Here is a 23,411-nt window from a genome sequence, read left to right as displayed (position 1 = left end):
CAAAAGGGCATCTCTGTTGATCTGCAGGCGGAGGGTGTGAGCCTGTGTGTGAATGGTGGAGCTGCTCCTCTCCAGGGCATCCAGTTGGTCATCTCTTCACAGCCTCCTCCTCCGTGGAGCAGCAAATCCAACAACAACTACTATCATTTACTGGGCATACAATATGTACCCAACACCATGTGATATCCTCAGGGTACATCATCTCATGGAATCTTCATAAAACTGTTGTGAGGTAGATACTCATTCTATAGTTATAGATGAACAAATTTAGGCTTACAGAGGGGAAGTAGGTGACCAAAAGCCACACCGGTAGAAAGTGGTAAAATGTGTGTTCCTATAGTGTGAGTACATCCATCCATGCACAGGACCAGCTGAGGTTTCCTGGTGGTGCCAGGCAACCAGGCCTAGAATGAGACTGACAGAAAGCCCATTAGGATCTATCTTCTAACCCTCTTCAACTGCTCACTCAGCAGCTTTAGCCTCAAAGGCCAAGCTTTGTGACTGTCTTGAATGCTAAGACAGTTTCCTATAAGCCATCTTCTCTCAGCAAAATACACTCATGTTCTATATTTTTGACTCAAGAATATCAGATGTGTGATGCACTCTATTTATCAGTGACAAGGCTCCAGGAAATTGATTCAATGAGCATTTTTCAACAGGAGGCCAGTATAAAATTTGAAATATATTTGCACTCAGGTGGTTATGATGCAGGATTTAAAAAAAAATAATAGATATATTGAAAAATCTTTCCTTTGAATATCTAGGGTGTCTGCATGGGCTGCATAGGCCACGTGACTCCTCTGTTGGTTAACAATTAGACATAAACATGCTTATGAATCATCTTAACCTGATTTTTTCCATAAAGAATCTTCCTTAAATGTTTGCAAACATGATTTTGGATTCCTGATGCTAGATCTGCACCCATTTTTAAAGCATTTTCTGTATGACTAGCCTTCTGTTAGATTCAGTTAATTTAAGATGTGAACCATGGTCTTCAGGAGCTTACATGGATTTGAGAGAATAACATATTGACACTGAAAATAAAATAAAAATATGAGTAAATTGCCAGTATGATAGATGTTCTAAGGCAGGATATGATTCATTTCCAAACAATTGATATAGGCAATGTGTCCAACAGGTAAGAGGGAAAAAAAATAACCATCATTTGTTAGGCCCTTGAAACATGACAAGTTCTTTCACATGCTATTTTACTTAATCCTTAAGTGGAGGGACAGTATTTTTGAAGTCTTAGCTTCTGTTCTTTTAATTTTTCCCTAGTTGTTTCTTCTACCTTACCTTCCATCTAAATACACCCTGGCTTCTAGCTCATTGTCGCAGGGAGGGTCATGGCAGAGAGAAGAGTAGAAGGGGCCTGGAGCTGAGTCTCTGCCTGGTGTGGTTTCCAGAAGCCTAAACCATGAGGAGGGTGGAGGAGGTCTGCGTATAGATCAGCCTTTGGGGGAAAAACAGAATAAGAGAATCTGGCCTCCTCCCAGAGTCATAAAGAACACCCTAGACATGGAGGTGGGTGTGTGACTGTGGCAGGGAAGGGGCGAAGACATCCGAGGTGCAGAGCAGAGACATCTGAAGCCTGCTTCCTGGGCTGAGCCCTGGCAGGGGTGATGCCGACAAGGAATGCTGGCCTGGTACATCTAGGCAGATGGACCACGGATGTTCCTACAGAGAAAGCATGAGAAGCAGCAGAAATATTTGTGTGCCCCCTAAGTAAGGTAATCCCGACAGCTGCCAGTTCTGACAGACCATTAGTGACCGAGAATCAGAACTGGTGAGCACAATTTCCACAATGCATGGAAAAGTTCCTGGAGGCTCCGCTGAAAACTCTAGCACTTTGCAAATCTCCCTGCAATCAGCCAAGCACCCTACAGAAAATGAATAATTGTAAATTAGCAGCACTTAAATCTCCCCCACTCAGGTTGACTGGGGACTTGAACTGAAACAAGGCTGGATGTGAGAAAGACAATTTTTAAATTTGTGTATTGAGATTCTTATCTGCCACACTTAAAACTTTAATAGATGAGGTTTTCAAAGTTAGGTAACTTGACCAAAGCCACATAACCAGAAGTGAGTGAAGCCAAGATTCAAACTCCTAAGCTTGCTTCCAAGCCTTTGGCCTACATGCCAGACAATGAGATGTGGCTTGGAAGGTTCAAGGGGGAATTTCTTGGAGGGGGATGGGTTGGGACTGACTCAATGCTGGGGGAAAATATTCAGTTATAGTGGGCTCTGTGGACACAGAATGGCTTCAGCAGCAACTCCCAGAAACTGGTGTTAAGGTTGCTGGAATACATGGTTGTCTTAAAAAACAGTTGTATTTAGCAAACACAATTTAATGCAGACTGTCTTATTCTGAGTCGGAGTTTGCATCAGGAATGAAGAGCTACACACTCATTCCCCCAGATTCCTTTCATTTGAGAGGTGGGGCTCACACATGATAAATACAGCTTTTGAACCAGTGTGTCTACCTCTTCTATTTTGAGGTAAAAATATGCACGCATCTATGTAGTGTGAACATACTAAGTCTCTTCCTGTGCAAAGTGTGTTCAGGATGCTGCTGGTCTTTCCAGCTGTCATTCCCATGGCTATTTAGTCTAAGAAACTCATGGAAAGGACTGGGGGCCATGAATCCTCTTGCTGGGGTTGGATGCTGCTCTGTGTATGGCTGTTTCCTGGGGATGCCCCTTGATGAACACAATTTCATGGATGCTTGGGTGTCAATTTTAAGCAATGCAAATAACGAGACCATCTGAAATCTCGCTTTCTCTCATTTCCTCATTTCAGTGATGTAGATACCTGTGGAATGCAAAGACTAAGTGAAGTGTGTAATAGACCCCTATAAGTGCAGCTTTAAAACTCGGTCCACACAATCCCGGGGGATGCTCACACAGCTGTAGGCTGCAGGTGGCTTGTGGGGACAGATGACCTGTCATCACGGCTGGCCATGGCACACTCCCAGCAGGCTTTCTCAACCCTTTCATTTTTATGACTCTGCCTCTGCAGGCTTTCCAGCACATATTTATATAGCAGTACAGTGAATGAAACATACAACTTAGCGATGACAACAAATGTCAGCTCTCTGGGGTTGAGAACCTAAACTCGTGGAGTTGGAAGGGCTTTCATCTATCATCCAGAATGTTGCTTTGTTCTTCACGTGAAGGAACTAAGGGCCTGAAAAAGGAAGATACTGACTTCAAAGACCTAGAGCAAATAAGCAGCAGTAGGAAGGTTCTAGAATTCTCTACTGACTCCAAATTCACCCCTCCCCCTACTAAACATGATGTCTGATGGGCCTGTCAATCTTTAGTCCTCAGATTGACTCTGCTCAATCTGTGTGAAAAATGCCAAGGGAGTTTGGGTAAATCCGGAATCCTCTGGCCTTCCTTACTTGGCTGAGGTGGTCCAGCAGTATACATAGGGGCGAGGGCTTTGGTGGCATAGACCTGCATTCAAGTCCAGCTCTACATGACTCGCAGCAAGGTACTTACCTCTGAATCCCAGTTTCCTCATTGGCAAAATGGGGGTCATACTTATGCCTATGCATCAGGTTGTGAGGACTAAGTGAGAACACATGTAAGATGCTCAGCACTGCACTGGCTGCGTACAACTCAGACTTGGCAGTCAGTGATAGAGAGCAAGGTGCCAAGAAACCCCAGGATGGGATGCATCAGGTGAGTTTTCTGTCTTGTTTTTTAGGGTCTCTTCCCCTCTCCCACTGAGTATCTCAGAGACGATACTGTTTTTGCTTTCAGACCCTCATCAAATCTTCTAATTAATAACATCTTCAAAATTGATACAAAGTTAAAATTATAACTCAGTGATACTCTGTTTCCAGACATGATTCACTGAACTTTAAACTTGATTTTAATCTGTATCATCTTCACACCAAATGCACCCCCATATCAAATTGACTCCAGGACCTAAAACAATTTTTTCTTGATTTTTAATATAGACAATGTTAAGAGACATCTTTTTAGTTACCTCTGTGTGTGCCAGAACATGAGCCACATACCTTTGTCAAAGTAGCCTCAAGAATAGGATATAATTTAACAAATATTAATTATTAACCTTCTATAGATCCTGAAGTTGTCAAAGTAGCCTCAAGAATAGGATATAATTTAACAAACATTAATTATTAACCTTCTATAGATCCTGAAGTCAAGGAAGGCAGAGGAGAGGATCTCTCAGAGCAGCTAGCCCTTGCCCCCTGCAAACTCTTGACCTAATAGGGAAGAACTGCATTAATAACTCCTTTAAGATGTTTCACAGAGTGAGTTCTATGGCTGCATAAGATTGAGGAACCTGAATCAAAGTCAAACAGATTGCTTTACTGGAGTACTTTTGAGAGCCTTTAATAAGTGAACATGCATTGTGACTCTCAAATATGGTGGTTTGGGAATGGCTTATCCTGTTTCCCCGACTTGACCTTGGCCTTTTTGTGAAAGGGTATCCTGTAGGACTGGAGCTTCATGAAGAACTCCTTGGAAAACATGACCTGAATGTAAGGCAGACTCTGCTAGCATGTGCCTCTTTCTTCCAGCTGTAGACACCCTAGGGACTCAGGATAATTTAAACACAGACTTTATTAAGAGAAGTTTGTACTAAATTAGACCAAGCTTATTAAATGAAGGCATGCACTCCAAGCCTCTGTACTAACGCTGTTGTCTGGCAGAAGAAAATGACCTGAAAATGTGCAACCACATGATCTCAGGACCACATGAGGCTCCAGTTTCCCTATACCCACAAATCGTACGTTACTGCTTACTGCAACTCTCAGGGGTTATTTCTGCCTTCTTATCCCTTTTTGACCCTTCCTATTCTTTGCTTTGGCTTTTCCCTTGGCTTTTCCCAAAAGCCACAGTGAGGATTCTGCATCTGTCTATTTACAGGCTCTAATATTTAGAAACAGCTTCTCTACATCCTGCTGCCTTATTTGTTAAGTAGAGGGTAGGATTCAGCAAGACCAGGATCCAGGGTAGAAAGGCTTCCTTATCTAAGACTAGAGGGAGGTATCATAGGCAAGGCTGGACACTCTAGGAAGGTTACAACCCATGACACTGGAGGAGAGTCCCCTGACAGAGACAGGGGCTGAGGCAATCACTAGAGTGGAGTCACAGGTAGCCTACCCTGAGATGAGATCTCCACCAAGAATAGATGAGGATCAGGCAAGGAGCAGGGTGGTAGCTTTGTGAGAAAGTGCTTAGAACTGTAGTTCTTCAAACATGCTTAGCCATTTCATTAACGGCTAACACAAAATAGGTAAAACAGAGTTGCTCTGGTCATGGCACGGGGAGAGATGCCCTGGACCTCCACGTGCTGCAGCATCTCCTGGAAACCCCAGGGCTCCCTTAAGGCACTGGTCTGGCACAACCAGCAGCCTACCTGACTCACTCCCTTGCACAGCTGGGTTATAGTACCCAGGTGATCAGGACCAGTTTAGAGGTCCAGGATTGAGGCAGATGTGAGTATACAATTTTTATTGTTTATGAGTAGAACTTGAATTTTTGTTCTTATAAATGGGATAAGTAGGAAATCTAAGGAAAAGGACAAATTAATTTAGTCTTTTAAATGATCTTTTACGTTGTGACCCAGAGAGAAATAAAGAACCTGGTATTTGTCTAAAGCCAGGAGGATCTGACTCAGCACTGGGTGAGCTCAGCCATGGGAGAGGGTCTGCCTCCATCCTGAATATTGTGTCATCCTGGACACAGAAATGATAGCAAGGGGGTGTGCATTAGCCACAGCTACACAGAGGAAGGGGACCTCTTTTGTGATGCTAGGTTCATCCCGACTGCACAGGCCTTTCCCTACAATTGAGAGATGCCACATGCTGTAGGCCTTTCCGGTAACATTTCTTAACTGTAAATGAAGTCCCATTTTTTTTTCATTGCTAGAATAAATACTAATGGAAATGAAGTCTCAGTGTTTATTTTGGCTTTCAAATTGGCTAATAGGACTAGTTGTCTAATTAGGGCTGCAGAACACTGACCAGCCACAGTGCTAGAGCCAGTTCCCAGGAGATCCCAACAAGCAGCTGCTATCAAACCATTTTCTACTTCCATTGTTAAAGCCTCGTCTGAAATTTCACAAATGGGAGCTAGTTCCCTTGCCAACCTCAAAAGCACCTGAAACACTCCCCACAACTGCAAGCCCAAAGGCAATTAAAGGTTCACACAGAGAGATTATACTATGTATATAAGTGGACTTCAGAAGGTTTAGAAACATGCAGAGATAAGGGCTGCATCATAGGCCATTAATTTCACAGCATCAGGTCTTATTGAAAGATCTTTTGATATTTTCATCTAAGACAAAAATGTGGCTTCAAGGAGGATGTGAATATTTGTGGGAATCCAAGGTCTTTAACAAAGCAGTGTGGTGTCCCAGGGTTTGGTCTCATCTCCTTGTCCCAGATTCCACTCTTTCTGGTTCACGTACATTCCAGTGATAAGGAACCCTGAATACACGGATGCCAAACTTCCCTGCCATAGCATATGGTGTTGCCTCCCTTACCTTCCTAGTGAACTGTTAGACATTCTATAAAGCCCAATTTTAAAGATCTTAAGAATTTTTCCTCTGCTGAAAATTCACCAATGGGTTGTCATTTCTCTAGAGAAAATACTCAAATCTTCCCATGGCCTAAAACACTGCATGATAAGGTTCCTATCTCCATCTCAAGCCCCACCTTCCAATACCTGTCTTCTGATTATTTTCCAGCTTCATTTACCTTTCTGACCATCAGTGAACCTGTGAGGTCATCAGGGTCTATATGTGAGGGTTAGTCCTGAGGAAGGAGAAAAAAGTCAGTGCATGCAAGGAGCTATGGGAAAGCCAGGGCCACAGAAACTAGATCATGCTATGGTCTTGCAGATTGTCTACAGTGTTGGTCTTAGATGAGAGGCTCAGAGAAGGTTGTGGAGGAGGCAGGGGGACAGGGAGATGTTCTAAAATTTACACAATCATTCAAGCAAAACATGCCAAGCACACTAGATGTGCCTAGCATCTAGTCCTTACAGGAATTCTGTGAGGTGGGTCTTACTCTTATTTCATAGATTAAAAATAAAATACAAGCTCCAGGAAGTTAAGGATACTGCTGGGTCCGTACAGCTAGTAGATGGCAAGGCTGGGATTTGATTTGAGGTCACTTTTTTTTAACCCCAAAGCTGAAACTCTTTTATTGTTCCTTGGTTGGTCACTTAGGTTTTACATAATAAAAGATTAGTAAGGGGAACGCAGCATTCTTGTGTGTTTTTAAAAGATTAGTAAGGGGAACGCAGCATTCTTGTGTGTTTTTAAAAATTTATTACAGGGTTGTCATATGTCTCAGGAGTTAAAGGGTTTGTAGCATTTGTATCAGTACACATTAGCTCCTGCCTTTTTCCAGACATAATTACATAAGCAAAATGACCAATTAGCAATAGAGGGCAGTGAGACACAGTGAAAAGAGCATAGGCATTGGAGGCTTGAGGTTGGGCATATTCAATTGAGCAACTTTGGGTAAACCCCTTCATCTCTGAGCCTCAGTTTCCTTATCTACAAATTGTGACGAATAACATTTTATTTCAGAACTGTGAACACCCCATGTGTATAAAGGGCCTCCTTGCAATTACAGCTTTTAAAGTTTCCATAAGGAAACAACATAAGGCACTTCTGCTCACAGTTAATTTGCCAAAGCAAGTCCCATGACCACACCTAACTCTAAGGGAGATCAGTCCTAGCGTATATCTGGAAAAAGGACCAAAAATACTTGGTGAACACCCTTGTCATCATTCTTTCTACTGTGTTCTTTGAAAGTCAATGTATACTTGGGTTTCCCATTTGAAATCATTTTTGTGGAATGGCTTTTAAATAAATTGTAATGAGATACAATAGTAGAGCAGCTATTTATGGAGTGACAATGTCCTCTTCAGATGTAGCCTAGAAGGATACTAAGGAAGGAAATATCTTCCGGGGAATGGAATAAAGGGCCACAAATAATATTTCCCACCCTAAGGGAGGGGCCCTTATAACATCTGCCCCAAGGGATTTCAGAATTGCTATGGACCAAAGACTGCTGTATTTCTCCCTCTTAGTGAAAGAGTTTTCTGGTTGGTCTGCTTCATTCTACTGTTGTATGGTATGTGTGCACGTGCACATATGCAGATGCATGAATGTGTGTGTGTTGGTGGGGAGGGCATGGTGGTTGCATTGGTGGAAAGTAATTTGTCCTATTAGTATATAGGTCTCCACATCAAGTGCAGCTACTATGTGGCCTGCTGTAGGCCTCTGTGCATCTCACCCTGATGAGGCGATCACTAGAAATCACTCGGAAAGCTTGGACATTGAGCCTGGAACCACAAAGAAGTGAGAATGTGGGCATGTCCCATTTAAGGAAGGATGGGAGTATTTTCTACGTGGGAAAGAGAGCCAAACAAATATCTATTGGCCTGGTGGACAAACTGTGGTGTTCATCAATGTTAATACAATATTTTCAATTTTTCTTCTAGATACAGTGTAGATTTCACTTTCTTGCCCTGATGTAGTTAGATGTGGCCTTCTGACTTGCTTTGGCCAATAAAATATGAATAAAAATTATTGGCATCACTTGTAGGTGGAAGTTTTAAGAGTTTGTGCACGATTTGCCATGTTTTCTTTTCCTCTTGCTACATATCCAGCCATGCAATGTGGCTGCTCTGTCTACTGACTGTGGATAAGGCGGAAAAGAGCCCTCATTGATTTTCAGTAAATATGAAGTGAGAATTATTTTAGGAACTGAGAGTTGGGGCTTGTTGTCATTGCAGTGCAACTTAACTTATTCTTATTGATTTTAGTTCCTTATAAAATCACATTTTATTTTGTGGGGCTACTTCCCCACTCTGGGCAGTAGGCATGTAACTCAGCAGCAGTTGCTGTAGCTGGCCTTGCAGACATGGGGGTGGGTTTCCATTGCACACTGGGGTGACAGGGATTCAAATGTGGTTTCTGAGGGGCTCTTGAGAAGAAGCATGGTAACATGGAAGGGGACATGATTAGGGCAATGTTTTCTTAGGGGCATTATCCAGGCTATGTTCCATAACACCCACAGGCTGGTTGGAGTGTGTCTGGCTAGGGCACTAAGCCACACCAGGGGAACATTTCTCTAGCATAGTTGTGTTCAGTGTTATTGATTCCTGCGCAACCTCTGAATCACTGCCCTGCTATACTAAATAGTTTCATGAACTCTTGCCATGTGACACGGTCTACCTGGCATTCTGGGGAGCCTGCAACTGAAGATACTCTCATTGCCAAGCTCTACTGAAATATTTAATAAACATTTTGCTATCATGTGACACAAGTGAGACATCAAGTAGGTGGGCTCAGCTCAAGAACACTTTCTCTTGCCTCATTTATACCTTATCTCCTTCCTGGGTTTTGAATCTCTAGTGCTTCCAGGCTGCACTGTATGTACTCCTTTTCATCTTCTTTTACATGGAGCTGCCCATAACTCACTTTGTCCAACCTACAGGGGCATGTGTCAGTCCTAGTTCACTCATGGGTCAGTTGGTCTTCTGAAGGCATATTCTTTTTTTTTTTTTTTTTTTTTTGAGATGGAGTCTCGTTCCATTGCCCAGGCTGGAGTGCAGTGGCGCGATCTCGGCTCACTGCGAGCTCCACCTCCCGGGTTCATGCCATTCTCCTGCCTCAGCCTCCCGAGTAGCTGGGACTACAAGCACCCGCCACCATGCCCGGCTAATTTTTTTGTATTTTTTAGTAGAGACGGGGTTTCACCGTGTTAGCCAGGATGGTCTCGATCTCCTGACCTCGTGATCTGCCCGCTTTGGCCTCCCAAAGTGCTGGGATTACAGGCGTGAGCCACTGTGCACGGCCGGCATATTCTTATACTATAGCCCACCTCTATCCCCAGCCCCTCATGGTGAAGAGTCAAAGTCACAAATCTTGGTAATTTTCACAGAATCCATCAACACAAGGTTGTGCCACATCTCAAAGTACTAATCTGCTTATTTGGGGAGCATTTTCATATCCTTCTGCTCTCTTACTGGTACTTCAAAGCATACCCAGCCCTTAAAGGAGCTGAAACAAAGACTCCAGCAGACCTGAGTGAGAGACAGAAAGATCACACGCATGCTTGGAGAGCCGGGTTTCCTGATCCCAAGGAGATTAGCCTGGGTTTGGGGATTAGGAGAGAGGCAACAGCACAAGAAGAGAGGAAGGGGCAGATACCTTCAAGTGGGAAGGCATAAAGGGCCTCTGTCCTTAGATGCCAGGGAAGGCACTGAGGGCTGAGCTGACCTTGAGAGTGGCTTTCTGTGGCCTTGTGGCTTGTGGACAAGCTGCCTTCCACAGCTCTGGGCAAGCCCTGGGCATTTGTGAGTTCCCAGAACAGAGGGTTTGGGGCTTAAAGAATTTGTGTGGGGATAAAGGGAGATCCTTGGTTCCTGATCAGCCTAGCACTCATCAGAGCCAACCAGAAGTTTGAACACAAGATTCTATACTGTTTTTTTCTCTGCATTGCCCCAGTTTGGAAATGAATAAGACTTCAAAATAATAAAATACATTAGAAACTCAGAGACAACCATGAAACTGCTCATGTCGATCTAAAAATCAAAATCTGGCCTTAAGCTTGTTATTATACAATACGTTTAGTTTGTAGATTTATACTTATTTTTATATGTCTTGAATTTTTTTTTGTAAGGGGTAGTAATTTTTCTAGACTATTCTCACACCACTTGCTTTTCCTTTTTCTCTACAAGTATCTTCCAAGAACTATTCACAAACAGGTCAGAGAAAAGGGTTTCACTTAGGATTACCTTGCCAACAAGCGCCGACTGTGAGTTGCATGGCTATGTGAGATGGATGAATGGGCCAGTCGTTGGTCACCAGGTATGGTTCATATGTTGCTCCATCCATGTATAAGGTTACCACAGGAAACTCCACATTGATGACATAGTAGTGCCACTCTTTGTCACAAATCTAAGAAAAGGAAAGAGAAGCAACATTTAAAATTGAATATGTAATAAAACATCAAACAGGCTTTTACTCTATGAAAGGAGAACAACACATTTTTGGGTCAACAATTTTTATTGCAAAGCACTCAAGGAATATAACAGTTGACATACACTGAAGTTATAGAAGCTTGTCATCAAACATGATGGGGCAAACTGGGAAAGAGAAACACCCAAGAATCCGATATCAGGCAGATAGTGGATGATGGGGAGATTTTCAGCCTTACCATGGTGCACCTGGGGAGGCAGAGAAGAACCACAAGTGGGTCCTACTGGCCTGGACTCAGTACAGGGCACCCTTTCACAACCTTTTAAACCCAAGACTCCTGGTCTCAGGGCTGGGAATCTTGTGTCAAAATTTCCAGTTGGCTCTGATTATTGCTAGGCTGATCAGGAACCAAGGATCTCACTTTATACCCACACAACTTGTTTAATCCCCAAACCCTCTGTTCTGGGAAACCACAAGTGCCCAGGGCTACAGAAGGCAGCTTAGTGGATTAGTGGAGATGCAGGGGGGCTAGAAGAGAGTCACAATTCTTAACCTCAAGGGAATGAACTCATACAGCATGAGACAAGATAGAAACCAAGATGGGCATGTCTTGGAAAGGGAGATGGGAGGCATGAAAGGTGGCAAGACTAGAGAACGATGCCACCCCCGGTCCTATCCCTAAGCAAGTGCCTTGGGAGTCATGCTGGACTCTCCTTCACGCTCCCTCTAATCCCCCCACACCCTGTGGAGGACCCCTCTGAAATGTCTCTCATCTGCATCCTCTTGTCTCCATCGACTCTGCCATCTGTGGCAGAGGAGACAGATGAGTTCTGAATGAAGGTGACCCCAAGGTGAGGGCATCAAAGCCCTCCCTACAATTCCATGCTTGATTAAATATGCTGTTTCTCATGAACAGATAACACCAACAGGGATGCTAAATAATCTTTCTCCTTTCAGTTTGAAATAAGATTTTTTTCATTAATGTTCTTTTTATATTGTCCTGTCTCATGTCTCAGAAAACTGCTCCTTTTGAAGCCCATTAGTCTGATAAAGCCTGATGAATATTTTAGGGGACTTTGGAAGGTAAGCAGGAGGGGTCCAGACAGATCTCTGTGAAGTTCTGTTATACTCAGTGAGAGGTCCTGACCCAGTTTCCACTCCCCTCATGCTCGGTGCCCTGGACCAAACCCTGGGCTGGGTGCAGGGCTCTCAAGCTAGGCCTGTTATTGGGGTGGGGTGACCCCAAGACATACAGGTGGCACACAGGCAGACCTGAACACAGAGTGCAGGGCTGATAGACTAGTAGAGAACTACATATCTGAATCAAGCACCGAACCCAAAGAGGTAGGAGCACCCTGGGCTTGGGGTTTGCAATCAAGGATAGCCAAGCAACAGAGGTAACCTGGAATGCGGTTCACATCCTGAGGATATTCCCAGAGGTATCTGGAAATCTCTGGTCAGGCCCTGGGCAGGGAGGAAGTGGGTGACAGTGAGGTAACCCTGACCATACCCCATGCCCTGTGGAATGTAGGTAGAGTGCCAAGAACCAACCAGACAGCACTTGGGGGCTCCCCCATCCTGGCCTCCATCACTGCCCTCACGGTGACCATCCTCTCTGTGTGACTGGCATGTTGAATCCATGTGCTTTAGCTGGCTCTACAGCAATCCACATCTGCTGAAGCTGGATGGAGAATAATCCTCTGGCATTATTTCATTTACAACACTTAGCATTTTGGTAGGACAACATAAACAATTGCAAAGAAGAAGTAATTCTATAACTCAACAGTAGCAGCATCCCCTCTCAACATTACAATGTTTTTCCTAGGTGTTTTTTCTCCAGTTCTTCCAAAGTATGCTAGATTGAACAACAGCCCCCATGATGCGCAGCATAAAAACAGTGATTCTCAAACTATAATAACTTTTCAACCTTACTGAAAAATAGAACTTTTCTATTTATAGCATTCCTATAAACATCCGTGAAACAACAGCTGGGAAAGGTCTATTTGGATCACACTGCATAAGAATTTGAGAGTTTGCATATTTCATGTAGCATCAGCACTAAAATGCCTTTAAAAATTTCATTTTAAGTAGCTGTGTAATATGGCTATATACTATACTTATTTCCAGATATTAATTATGTAACAGCTATTATAAATGGTATTATAATGAATTTCTTGTGTATAAATATTTGTTTGCATTTCTGATTATATCCTTAGGAAAGATTCCTGGAAATGGAATTACTGGGTCAAAGGCTGGAGGTATTTTTAAGACTCTTGATACATATTATCAATGTTTTTTTCTGCAAAGGTTACGCCTATTTATACTCCTACTCACAGAGGTTAAGAGAGCTTATGCATGGCACCCTTGCCACACTGAGTAATAAAAAATAAATAAAAATCCTGTTACTATAAAAGGGACACATTTTATCTCATTTTAATATGGGTCACAAAAGATGGCAAGATTTATATTCTCCAACATCAACAGGGAGAGCATTGTTGGTGTGAAGAACAGCCTCAGCCAAGAGTCAAAGGTAGGAATGCTTGGGAGCTGCCCCAGTGAGCTCCTAATTGGGCGTCTAAACAATCTTTTAGCTCATACAAAGCTTATGCCTGCAGAGTTTTTCCACCAAGTAATCTGTGACAGCAGCTAAAGGAAATGCCTAATTAGGGTTTTATAAATGTGGATCTATGATCAGGAAGAGACCTACATTGACCCTCTGCTAGAACTGCAGGGACAAACTGTAATTGAAAAATGATCAAGCCAGGAGGCAGCTAAAATAAATGTGTCAATGCATAGTTCAACCAAGAAAGAAGAAAATTCAGCAAAGTGACCTTTCCTTGGGGGAGAGAAGAACTTCAATTCCCGACTGTTCATGAATCACTGGTGTATCCAGCCGCACCAAGTATGTCCAAGCTCCAAGAATGTCTGACACCATCCCCCAGAATGATGCCTGAGGCCTTGCCTAGTCCAAAGACACATGAATCTCTGGACACCTGCAGATGTACTCCCACGGCAGGCAGCTGCAGCATAGCTGGTAAGTGACTCAGAGACCAGAGACCCAGGGATACACGTTCAGGAAGGGTAGCAGGGACAACGCCAAAGGAGGTCTGAGTTAGGAGTGTGCTGGAATTTCAGTGTGAGTCAGGGGCCAGGGAAGCCTCCCATGAGATGAGGAGGAGAAAATCAGGTGAGAGGTTCTCTGTGTAGTTTCTGACTGGTTGATCCAAGTGTTATATAAGTGGCCAAATTGGAAGTTCTGCCTTGGTTTCCTCAGGAAATCAGGTGTTTTTGAATGCAGCTATTCAACATAAGATACATTCACCTACCAACTACTATCTGTCAACTATTATGTCTACTAGGTGCTGCAAGAGATACAGAAGTTATGAGATAGGTCCTTTGCTTTCAAGATTTTCAATCTAATGGAGGGGCTGTATCAAGTACACAAAATCTTCAAATGTAATGAAACTTGAGATAAGTGTTGTAGACCAGGTGCAAGGCACTGTGAGGTCCCAGGGAATGGAGAGATTCTTCTCACCTTGGAGAAGGTGGAATTTAGGGTGGATATTGAAGAACTGTTAATATTTCATTAGGAATAGATGGCAAGTAATAAATTCTAAGGCAATGAAGCAGAAACCTCTTATTCCTCTATTCATTCATCTTTTTTTTGTCAGAGGCACTAGGTTTGGGGACATATAAAGATATACACATTCACTCATTCGTTAACTCCTACAGACATTTACTAAATGCACGTCCTACTTTGTGAACAAAAAAGCACCCGCCTTTATGGAGCTTATAGTCCAGCCATGGAATTGACAAAAAGGCTTATAACAGATCGGGATTCATATCCAGCACAGATTTGTGCAAGGTGCCATGTTAACCCTGTTGAGGTAGATGAGGATGACAGAGTTTGGGGTTGTCAGGCTGCATTTGCAAAAGGTGAAGAGTGTGCAATAAGGCTGCAAGGAGAGATCTGAAACTGAGGACTTGGATTGCTTTTATTCTGTAGGCAATGGGAGATCTGGAGGCTTCTAGGTGGGAGAAGCGGGTGATAGTCATAAAAACAATCCATCAGTCTTGGAACATGCTTTTCAGTATTGAAGCAGCTTTTCCTATTCCTCCTTATACTATTTAATCTTCACCACAACCCTATAAAATAGGAGGACCAATTCTGTCTTAGGCACTATTAGAAAATTAAGGAGAAAGAAATGACATTATTTTTCAAGATAATTTCAACTTTTATTTTAGATTGAGGGGTACATATGCAGATTGTTACATGGGTATATTGTGTGACTCTGAGGACAAATGATCCTATCACACAAGTACTACCCAAGCATAATACTCAATAGGTGGTTTTTCAACCCATTCCCCTCTCTTTCCCTCCCCCATCTATTAGTCCCAGTGTCTATCATTCCTATATTTATGTCTATGGGTATCCAATGTTTAGCTTCCACTTATAAGTGAAAAAATACGGTATTTGGTTTTCTTTTTTTGTGTTAATTTGCTTAGAATAATGGCCTTTGGCTCCATCTATGTTGCCACAAAGGACATGATTTAATTCTTTCTTATGGCTGCATAGTATTCCATGGTGTATATGTACCACATTTTCTTTATTCAGCCCACTGTTGATGGGCACCTAGGTTGGTTCCATGTCTTTGCTATTGTGAACAGTGCTGCGATGAACATACAAATGCATGTGTCTTTTTGGTAAAACAATTTATTTTCTTCTGAATATCCAGTAATGGGATTGCTGGGTCAAATTGTAATTCTGTTTTAAGTTCCTTGAGAAATTTCCAAACTGCTTTCCATAGTGGCTGAACTAGTTTGCATTCCCACTAACAGTATATTCCTTTCTCTCCATAGCCTTGCCAGCATCTGTTATTTTTGATTTTTTAATAATTGCCATTCTGACTGGTATGAGATGATATTTCTTTGTGGTTTTGATTTGAATTTTTCTGATGATTAATGATGTTGGGCATTTTTTTCATATTTTTGTTGGCCAATTTTACATCTTCTTTTGAGAAGAATCTGTTCATATCCTTTGCCCATTTTTAAATGAGATTATTTGTTTTTGCTTGTTGATTTATGTTCCTTGTAGATTCTGGATATTAGAATTCTGTTACATGCAGAGTTTATTAATATTTTCTCCCATCCTGTAGGCTGTTTACTCTGTTGATAAATTCTTTTGCTATGAAGAAGCCCTTCAATTTAATTAGCTCCCACTTGTCAATTTTTGTTTTTCTTGCAATTGCTTTCGGGGACTTAGCCATAAATTCTTTGCCAATGCTGATGTTGAGAAGGGTAGTTCTTAGGTTTTCTTCTAGGATTTTTATAATTGGGGTTTTATATTTAAATCTTTAACCCATTTTGAGTTAATTTTTGTATATGGTGAGAGGTAGGAGTCCAGCTTCATTCTTTTCCATATGGCTAGCCCGTTATCCCAACACCATTCATTGAATAGAGTGTCCTTATTCCATTGTTTATTTTTGTCTATTTTGCTGAAGATCAGATGGCTGTAGATGTGCAGGTTTATTTCTGGGTTCTGTATTCTGTTCCATTGGTCTATGTGTCTGTCTTTGTACCAGTACCATGCTGTTTTTGTTACTGTTGCCTTATGGTATAATTTGAAGTCGAGTAATGTGATGCCTCCAGTTTTTTTTTTGTTGTTGTTGTTGTTTGCTCAGTATTGCTGTGGTTGTTTTTTTTTTTTGTTTGTTTGTTTGTTTCATATAAATTTATGAGTAGATTTTTCTAATTCTGTAAAAAATGACATTGGTATTTTGATAGGGATAGCATTTAACGTATAAATTGCTTTGGGCAGTATGGCCATTTTAATGATATTGATCCTTCCAATCCTTAAGCATGAAACGTTTTCCCATTTCTTTGTGTCATCTCTGATTTCTTTCAGCAGTGTTTGGTAGTTTTCTTTGCAGAGATCTTTTACCTCCTTGGTTAGACGAATTCTTAGGTATTTCATTTATTTTGTGGCTATTGTAGATGGGATTGTGTTCCTGATTTGGTTCTCAGCTAGAACATTATTGGCATATAGAAATGCTACTAATTTTTGTACATTAATTTTGTATCCTGAAACTTTATCAGTTTCAGGAGCCTTTTGGCAGAGTCTTTAGGGTTTTCTAAGTAAGGAATCATATCATTTGAAAAGAGAGATGGTTTGACGACTTCTTTTTCTATTTGGATGCATTTTATTTCTTTCTCTTGCCTAATTGCTCTGACTAGGACTTCCACTACCATGTTGAATAGGTGTGGTGAGAATAGGTGTCCTTGTCTTGTTCTAGTTCTCAAGGGGAAAGGTTCCTCTTGGGCTTTTCTCCATTTAGTATAATGTTGGCTGTGGGTTTGTCATAGATGGCCTTTAATATTTTGAGATATGATCCTTTGATGCCTAGTTTGTTGAAGGTTTTTATCATGAAGGGATGTTGGATTTTATCAAAGGCTTTTTCTGCATCTATTAAGATAATTGTGTGGTTTTTGATTCTGTTCACATGGTGAATCACATTTATAGATTTGCATGTGTTGAATCAACCTTGCATCCCAGGAATAAAACCTTCTTGAATGTGGCGACTTAACTTTGTGATGTGCTGCTGTATTCAGTTTGCTAGTATTTCATTGGGGATTTTTACATCTATGTTCATCATGGATATTGGCCTGAAGCTTTCTTTTTATGTTGTGTCTCTGCCAGATTTTTGTATCAGAATGATGCTAGTTTCACAGGATGAGTTAGGGAGGAGCTCCTTCTCTTCAATTTTTTGGAATAGTTTCAGTAGGATTGGTATCAGTTCTTTGCAGATCTGATAATGGGCTGTGAATCCATCTGGTCTAGGGCTCTTTTTGGTTAGTAGGTTTTTAAAATCTCAGAATTCATTATTTGTCTGTTCAGGTTTTCACGTGCTTCCTAGTTCAATCTTGGGAGATTGTGCGTTACCAGGAATGTATCCACTTTCTCTAGATTTCCTAGTTTATATGCAGAGAGGTTTTCATAATGGTCTCTGAGGATCTTTTGCTTTATGTGGGATTGATTGTAATGTCATCTTTGTCATTTCCAATTTTGTTTGTTGGGATCTTCTCTCTGTATTTGTTAATCTAGCTAGCGCTCAATCAATCTTGTTTATTCTTTCGAAAAAGCAACTCTTGGTTTTATTGATCTTTTGTATGGACTTTTGGGTCTAATTTTGTTCAGTTCTCCTCTGATGTTAGTTATTTCTTTTCTTCTGCTATATTTGAGGTTGGATTGTTCTTTTTCTCCCCTTCTTCCTCTAGGTGTGATGTTAGATTGTTAAATTGAAATCTTTCTAACCTCTTAATGAAGGCATTTTAGTGCTATACACTTTCCTCTTAACACAACTTTAGCTGCATCCAAAGACTTTGGTAAGTTGGGTCACTATTTTCAATAATTTCAAGGAATTTTTTGATTTCTGCCTTAATTTTGTTGTTCACCCAAGGGTTATTCAGGAGAAAGTTGTTTAATTTCCATGTTTTCATGCAGTTTTGAGAGATCTTGGTATTGATTTCTATTTTTGCTGCATTGCAGTCTTGAGAGTGTGCTTAGTATGGTTTTGATTTTTTTGTATTTATATTATTGAGACTTGCTTTATGACTGAGCATGTGATTGATCTTAGAATACGTTCCATGTGCAGATAAGAAGAATGTATGTCCTGTGGTTGTTGGGTGGAGTAGTCTGTAGATGTCTCTTAGGTCCAGTTGGTCAAGTGTCTAGTTTAATGCCAGAATTTTATTGTTTGTTTTCTGCCTCAATGATCTGACTAACACTGTCAGTGGGCTGTTGAAGTCCCTCACAATTGTGTGGCTGAAATGACGTGATATCTTAACTCAAGGAACATATAATCTTATTGTAAGTTAGAACTAACATACACACCACTGTGGGCTTCCACATATGGCCTCTTATATTTTCACTTCACACGTAACCAATGTCAGCTTCACATGCTCACTTCCAAATCAGGATCTTGAGCAGAGAATCATCTTCTAAATGGTGTACTTGCATGTCAGAGTATCTCCAAATTGCCCCACTTGGATGTTCTACAGGTACTTCAAACACACTGTGTCCAAGTTTGAGTTCAGTGTTTCCCATGCTACAGCCTAGCCTGCTCCCTCTCCTGTGATCCCTGGCCTCAGTAAACACTCCCTCATGCAATCTGTTATCCAAGCCAGAATACTGCCATTGCTTTTGAATTCCCCTACTCTTTCTCCACTTCCTTTACTGCACAGTTCTGATAATGCTTTCGTCTTATCTATTCTCCCCTCATTCCTGATCTGTGCTTACAATACCCACTAGAGAGGGAGAGTTGGATGGAGGGTTGACTGATTGAGAAAGTGAGTCTGAGACAGGCTATTGCAAGACAGAAAGGATTTGAACAGGGGAAGAGGACCATTTGTAGCAGGAGAATAATGAGAGGGCTTTGATGTGAGTGTGGTTGAACAGAGCGAACAGTCTGCTAAGTGACCAGCTGCCCTGGGGTTTGAGGAACCACAGAATGAGACAGACAGGATAGCAAAAGGGATTGGTACAGGCCAAGTCTTTGGGTAATGAGTTGGGTATCACAGCTGCTTCATGAATTTCTAGGGAATCATGTTCTGACTTTGGGAAAATAAGGGAACCCTTCTAATCCTTGGGAGCCTCACATGTGAAGTGAGGATAATAATAGTATCTATGCATAGGTTTGTTGTGTGAATTGAGCTAAGTAAGGCATATACAATGTTTAGCACATATTTTCAGCCTGACTGGATAGGGGACTGCTTTCCTTTTCCAAATAAATTGAGATGCTGGATATAATATAACATTAACAACAGAAGAAAACAAAAATAAAAAAGCTGGAAAGAGAACTCTTCAGGAATCAAAAACAAGGAAAGCATAGCTGCACTGGGGGGCTGAAACTGAGTGGCTGCTGAGGAGCTGTGGCCTACTGCCTCAGCTGGAGTTTTAAAGTCCATGAGTAGCAAGAATGGAAACCTAAGTTCTCTACACAAAGAAAACTTGAGATGGGATGTCTGCATAAAGCCTGAAGCTTCAAAGGACTGTCTGAATTCGGGTCCCAGAATAAACACTGCCACTGCCCGAGGGATGCAGGGAGTAAGCCAGACAACCACTTTGGAATAAGTCACCTCCGAGAAGTTAGACGCCCAGGCCTGCTCTGTGCATGGGCATCAAGTCCAAATGCACACAGTTCACATGCCGTAGAAATCCTGAACTGAGAAACAAACCTAAAAATGCATCCTTGAAGTCTTTAGGGCACTGAGCAAAGACAAACTCAAAACCTCTCAATACAGATGTATTTACAGCTTAGGGCATGTGTTAGACAATTACTACTAGAGATAAGCTCAGAGTAAAAGAAAGATTACAAAACAAAGAAGAAACAACCCTTTGCCTGTCTGAGAAATAATAGCAAACACAGCAAATGATTAAACTCACATAACAGGAACCACAGGAGCAGTTTGAAAGGGAACAGGGAAAGCAGGTTTGAAAAAGAGCTGAATAAAAATTTCAGAAAGGAAATAAAAATAAATCAATAAGTTAAATATAAATGAGAAAGCTGAGAACAAAATTAGTGAATCTGAAGATAGATGAGATTGTATGACAAAATGATAAATTCCAACAAATATCCTTGAAAGATGTGTGGCTGGAGGTGAGGTTGGGCTCTAGCGGACTAGCATGCTACAGTAAGGAGTGTGTTACCTTATTTTAGTGCCTTGCATTCTAGAAAGCCATTCTTTACTCCAACAGCCTTATTGTGTGTTCAGTTTAGATGACAATGGACAGAACTGCAAAAGCCCCTGCTCCAAAGGACATATTTGAAGGGTCACCTTCATTTCATGAAACAGAGAGCTGTTTACCAGGAGGATTGGAACCATGCAAACCAGATTCTCTTAAGACTTGCGAGGCCATACGGCCTCAGGCCACTAATTTAAACACTAGTAAAAAGAGGCTGGACCTGGGGGCCAACATGGCCAATTAAAAGCAGCTGCGGTCTGTGGCACTCACAGAGAGGAATGAAAGTGATGCCTGAATTCAGCACCTTCAACTGAAATATCCAGACTCTCACATTGGGACTGACTAGGCAAACAACCCGACCTGTGGGGAATGAAGAAAAGCAGGCTGGGGCGACAGCCACCTGGGAACAGCATGAAGCCAAAGGAAGCAGTGAGTGATCCCACCCAGGAAACCATGCTTCTCCCACAGATTTTTGCAACCTGCAGATCAGGACATCCCTTCATTAGCCCAAGCCACCAGGGTCTCGGGTCTGACTCACAGAGGTGTGTGGAGTCCCTGCAGAGCAGCCACTCAGGCAAACACAGAGACCCAGTTTTGCTGGCCCTGGGATTCCCAGCGAGGTGGAATGTCAATCCCTACATACCCCTAGGAGGCGGGCTCTATCCAGGGAGCCAAGCAGTGTCATTCTGCGGGCCCCACTTCAACGGCACCTTACAAGTTAAGACCCACTGGCTTGGAATTCCAGTGAGCCACAAGTGACAGGCTGGAATCTGCATGAGAAGGACCAAGTTCCTGGGGAGAGATGTGACCGTCATTTCTTTGGTTCAGTCAACTCAGCTGTTATAGCCTGCTGGCTCTGGAGAGTCCAAGGGTCTGGACAAGGAAGGGTCCCCCACAATGCAGCACAGCTGCACTACCAAAAATCAGCCAGATTTCTTATTTAAGCAGGTCTCTAACCCTGTTCCTCCTGACTGGGTGAGGCCTCCCAACAAGGGTTCTCAGCCACCTCTTATAGGTGCAGTTCTGGCTGACAACAGGTCACTAAACTGCAGGATGGAGCTTCCAGAGGCAGGAGCAGGCTGCCATCTCTGCTGTTTCTCAGCCTTCACTGGTGATACATCCAGGTACAGGAAAAACTGAGGCAACTAGGGTCTGGAGCAGAACCCCAGCAAACTGCAGCAGCCCTATGGAAGGGTAGCCTGACTGACTGTTAAAAGAAAAACAAACAGAAAATAACATCAACAAAAATCCCATTCAAAGGTCAGCAACCTCAAAGATCGAAGGTAGAAAAGCCCACAAAGATGAGAACGAATAAATGCAAAAACGCTGAAAACTCAAAAAGTCAGAGTGCCTCCTCTCCTCCAAATGACCGCAACACCTCTCCAGCAAGGGCACCGAACTGAGTTGAGGCTTGGCTGGACTGATAGAAGTAGGCATCAGAAGGTGGGTAATAATGAACTTTGCTGAGCTAAAGGAGCATGTTGTAACTCAATGCAAAAAAAAAAAAAAAAATGCAAAAAAGCTAAAAATCATGATAAAACGATATGGGAGCTGATAGCCAGTTTAGAGAGGAACACAACATGAGACATTCACAGTGCAATCATGAGTATCAATAACAGAATAGACCAAGTGGAAAAAAGAATCTCAATGCTTGAAGACTATTTTTCTGAAATAAGACAGGCAGACAAGAATAGAATGAAAAGGAATGAATGGAATCTCCAAAAAGTATGGAATTATGTAAAGAGACAGAACCTATGATTGATTGGGGTACCTGAAAGGGACGGGGAGAATGGAACCAACTTGGAAAACATACTTGAGGATATCATCCAGAACTTCCCAAACCTAGCAAGACAGGCAAACATTCAAATTCAGGAACTGCAGAGAACCCCAGGGTGATACTCCATGAGATCAACCCAAGACTCTTGATATGGTTTGGCTGTGTCCCCACCCAAAATCTCATCGTGAATTATAATCCCGATAATCCCCACATGTCAAGGGTGGGACCAGGTGGAGGTAATTGGATCAGGGGGCTGTTTCCCCCATGCTATTCTTGTGATAGTGAGTGAGTCTCATGAGATCTGATAGTTTTAGAGGCATCCAGCCTTTTCCCTGCCTGCACTGACTCTGCCCTGTGAAGAAGGTGCCTATTTCTCCTTTGCCTTTCACCATGATTATAAGTTTCCTGGGGGCTTCCCAGCAATGTGGAATGGTAAGTAAGTCAATTAAATCTCTTTCCTTTATAAATTATCCAGTCTCAGGCAGTTCATTATAGTAGCATGAGAAAAGACTAATACAATTCTCCAAGGTCCAAATGAAAGAAAAATAATGTTAACAGCAGTCAGAGAGAAAGGCCAGGTCACCTACAAAGGGAAACCCATCAGACTAACAGTGGTCCTCTCAGCAGAAACCCTACAAGCCAGAAGATACTGGGGGACAATATTCAACATTCTTTAGGAATTTCCAACCCAGAATTTCAGAACCAGCAAAAGTTAGCTTCATAAGTGAAGGAGAAATAAGATCCTTTTCAGGCAAGCAAATGCTGAGGGAATTTGTCACCATCAGGCCAGCCTTGCAAGAGCTCCTGAAGGAAGCACTAAATATCAAAAGAAAAAACCATTACCAGCCACTACAAAAAACACTGAAGTACACAAACCAGTGACACTATAAAGCAACCACATAAACGAGT

General features: G+C 42.1%; 1 protein-coding gene across 2 annotated transcripts in view, besides 3 other annotated features; it reads right to left on the bottom strand.

The window, feature by feature from the left end:
• CLSTN2 (calsyntenin 2) overlaps window positions 1-23,411 on the bottom strand; it is a 642,213-nt gene that overhangs the window by 34,112 nt on the left and 584,690 nt on the right. For both annotated transcript variants that reach the window (NM_022131.3, XM_017007022.3), the window contains exon 9: window positions 10,800-10,962. In NM_022131.3, the coding sequence (NP_071414.2) occupies window positions 10,800-10,962 (163 nt within the window). The remainder of the gene's footprint in view (window positions 1-10,799; window positions 10,963-23,411) is intronic.
• Window positions 2,706-2,755: an enhancer, noted in NCBI's record as "active region_20618". NCBI's record gives its function as "activates an Ori minimal core promoter by ATAC-STARR-seq in GM12878 lymphoblastoid cells {active_cell/tissue: GM12878}" and the evidence as "EXISTENCE:reporter gene assay evidence [ECO:0000049][PMID:35858748]".
• Window positions 2,816-2,875: an enhancer, noted in NCBI's record as "active region_20617". NCBI's record gives its function as "activates an Ori minimal core promoter by ATAC-STARR-seq in GM12878 lymphoblastoid cells {active_cell/tissue: GM12878}" and the evidence as "EXISTENCE:reporter gene assay evidence [ECO:0000049][PMID:35858748]".
• Window positions 21,336-21,837: an enhancer, noted in NCBI's record as "H3K4me1 hESC enhancer chr3:140240291-140240792 (GRCh37/hg19 assembly coordinates)". NCBI's record gives its function as "activates a minimal SCP1, AML or CMV promoter by ChIP-STARR-seq in naive H9 embryonic stem cells {active_cell/tissue: H9 hESC(naive)}" and the evidence as "EXISTENCE:reporter gene assay evidence [ECO:0000049][PMID:30033119]".

The sequence above is a fragment of the Homo sapiens genome, chromosome 3, assembly GCF_000001405.40.
Source record: "Homo sapiens chromosome 3, GRCh38.p14 Primary Assembly".
Lineage (NCBI taxonomy): Eukaryota > Metazoa > Chordata > Mammalia > Primates > Hominidae > Homo > Homo sapiens.
This window is presented reverse-complemented; position numbering and strand designations above follow the sequence as displayed.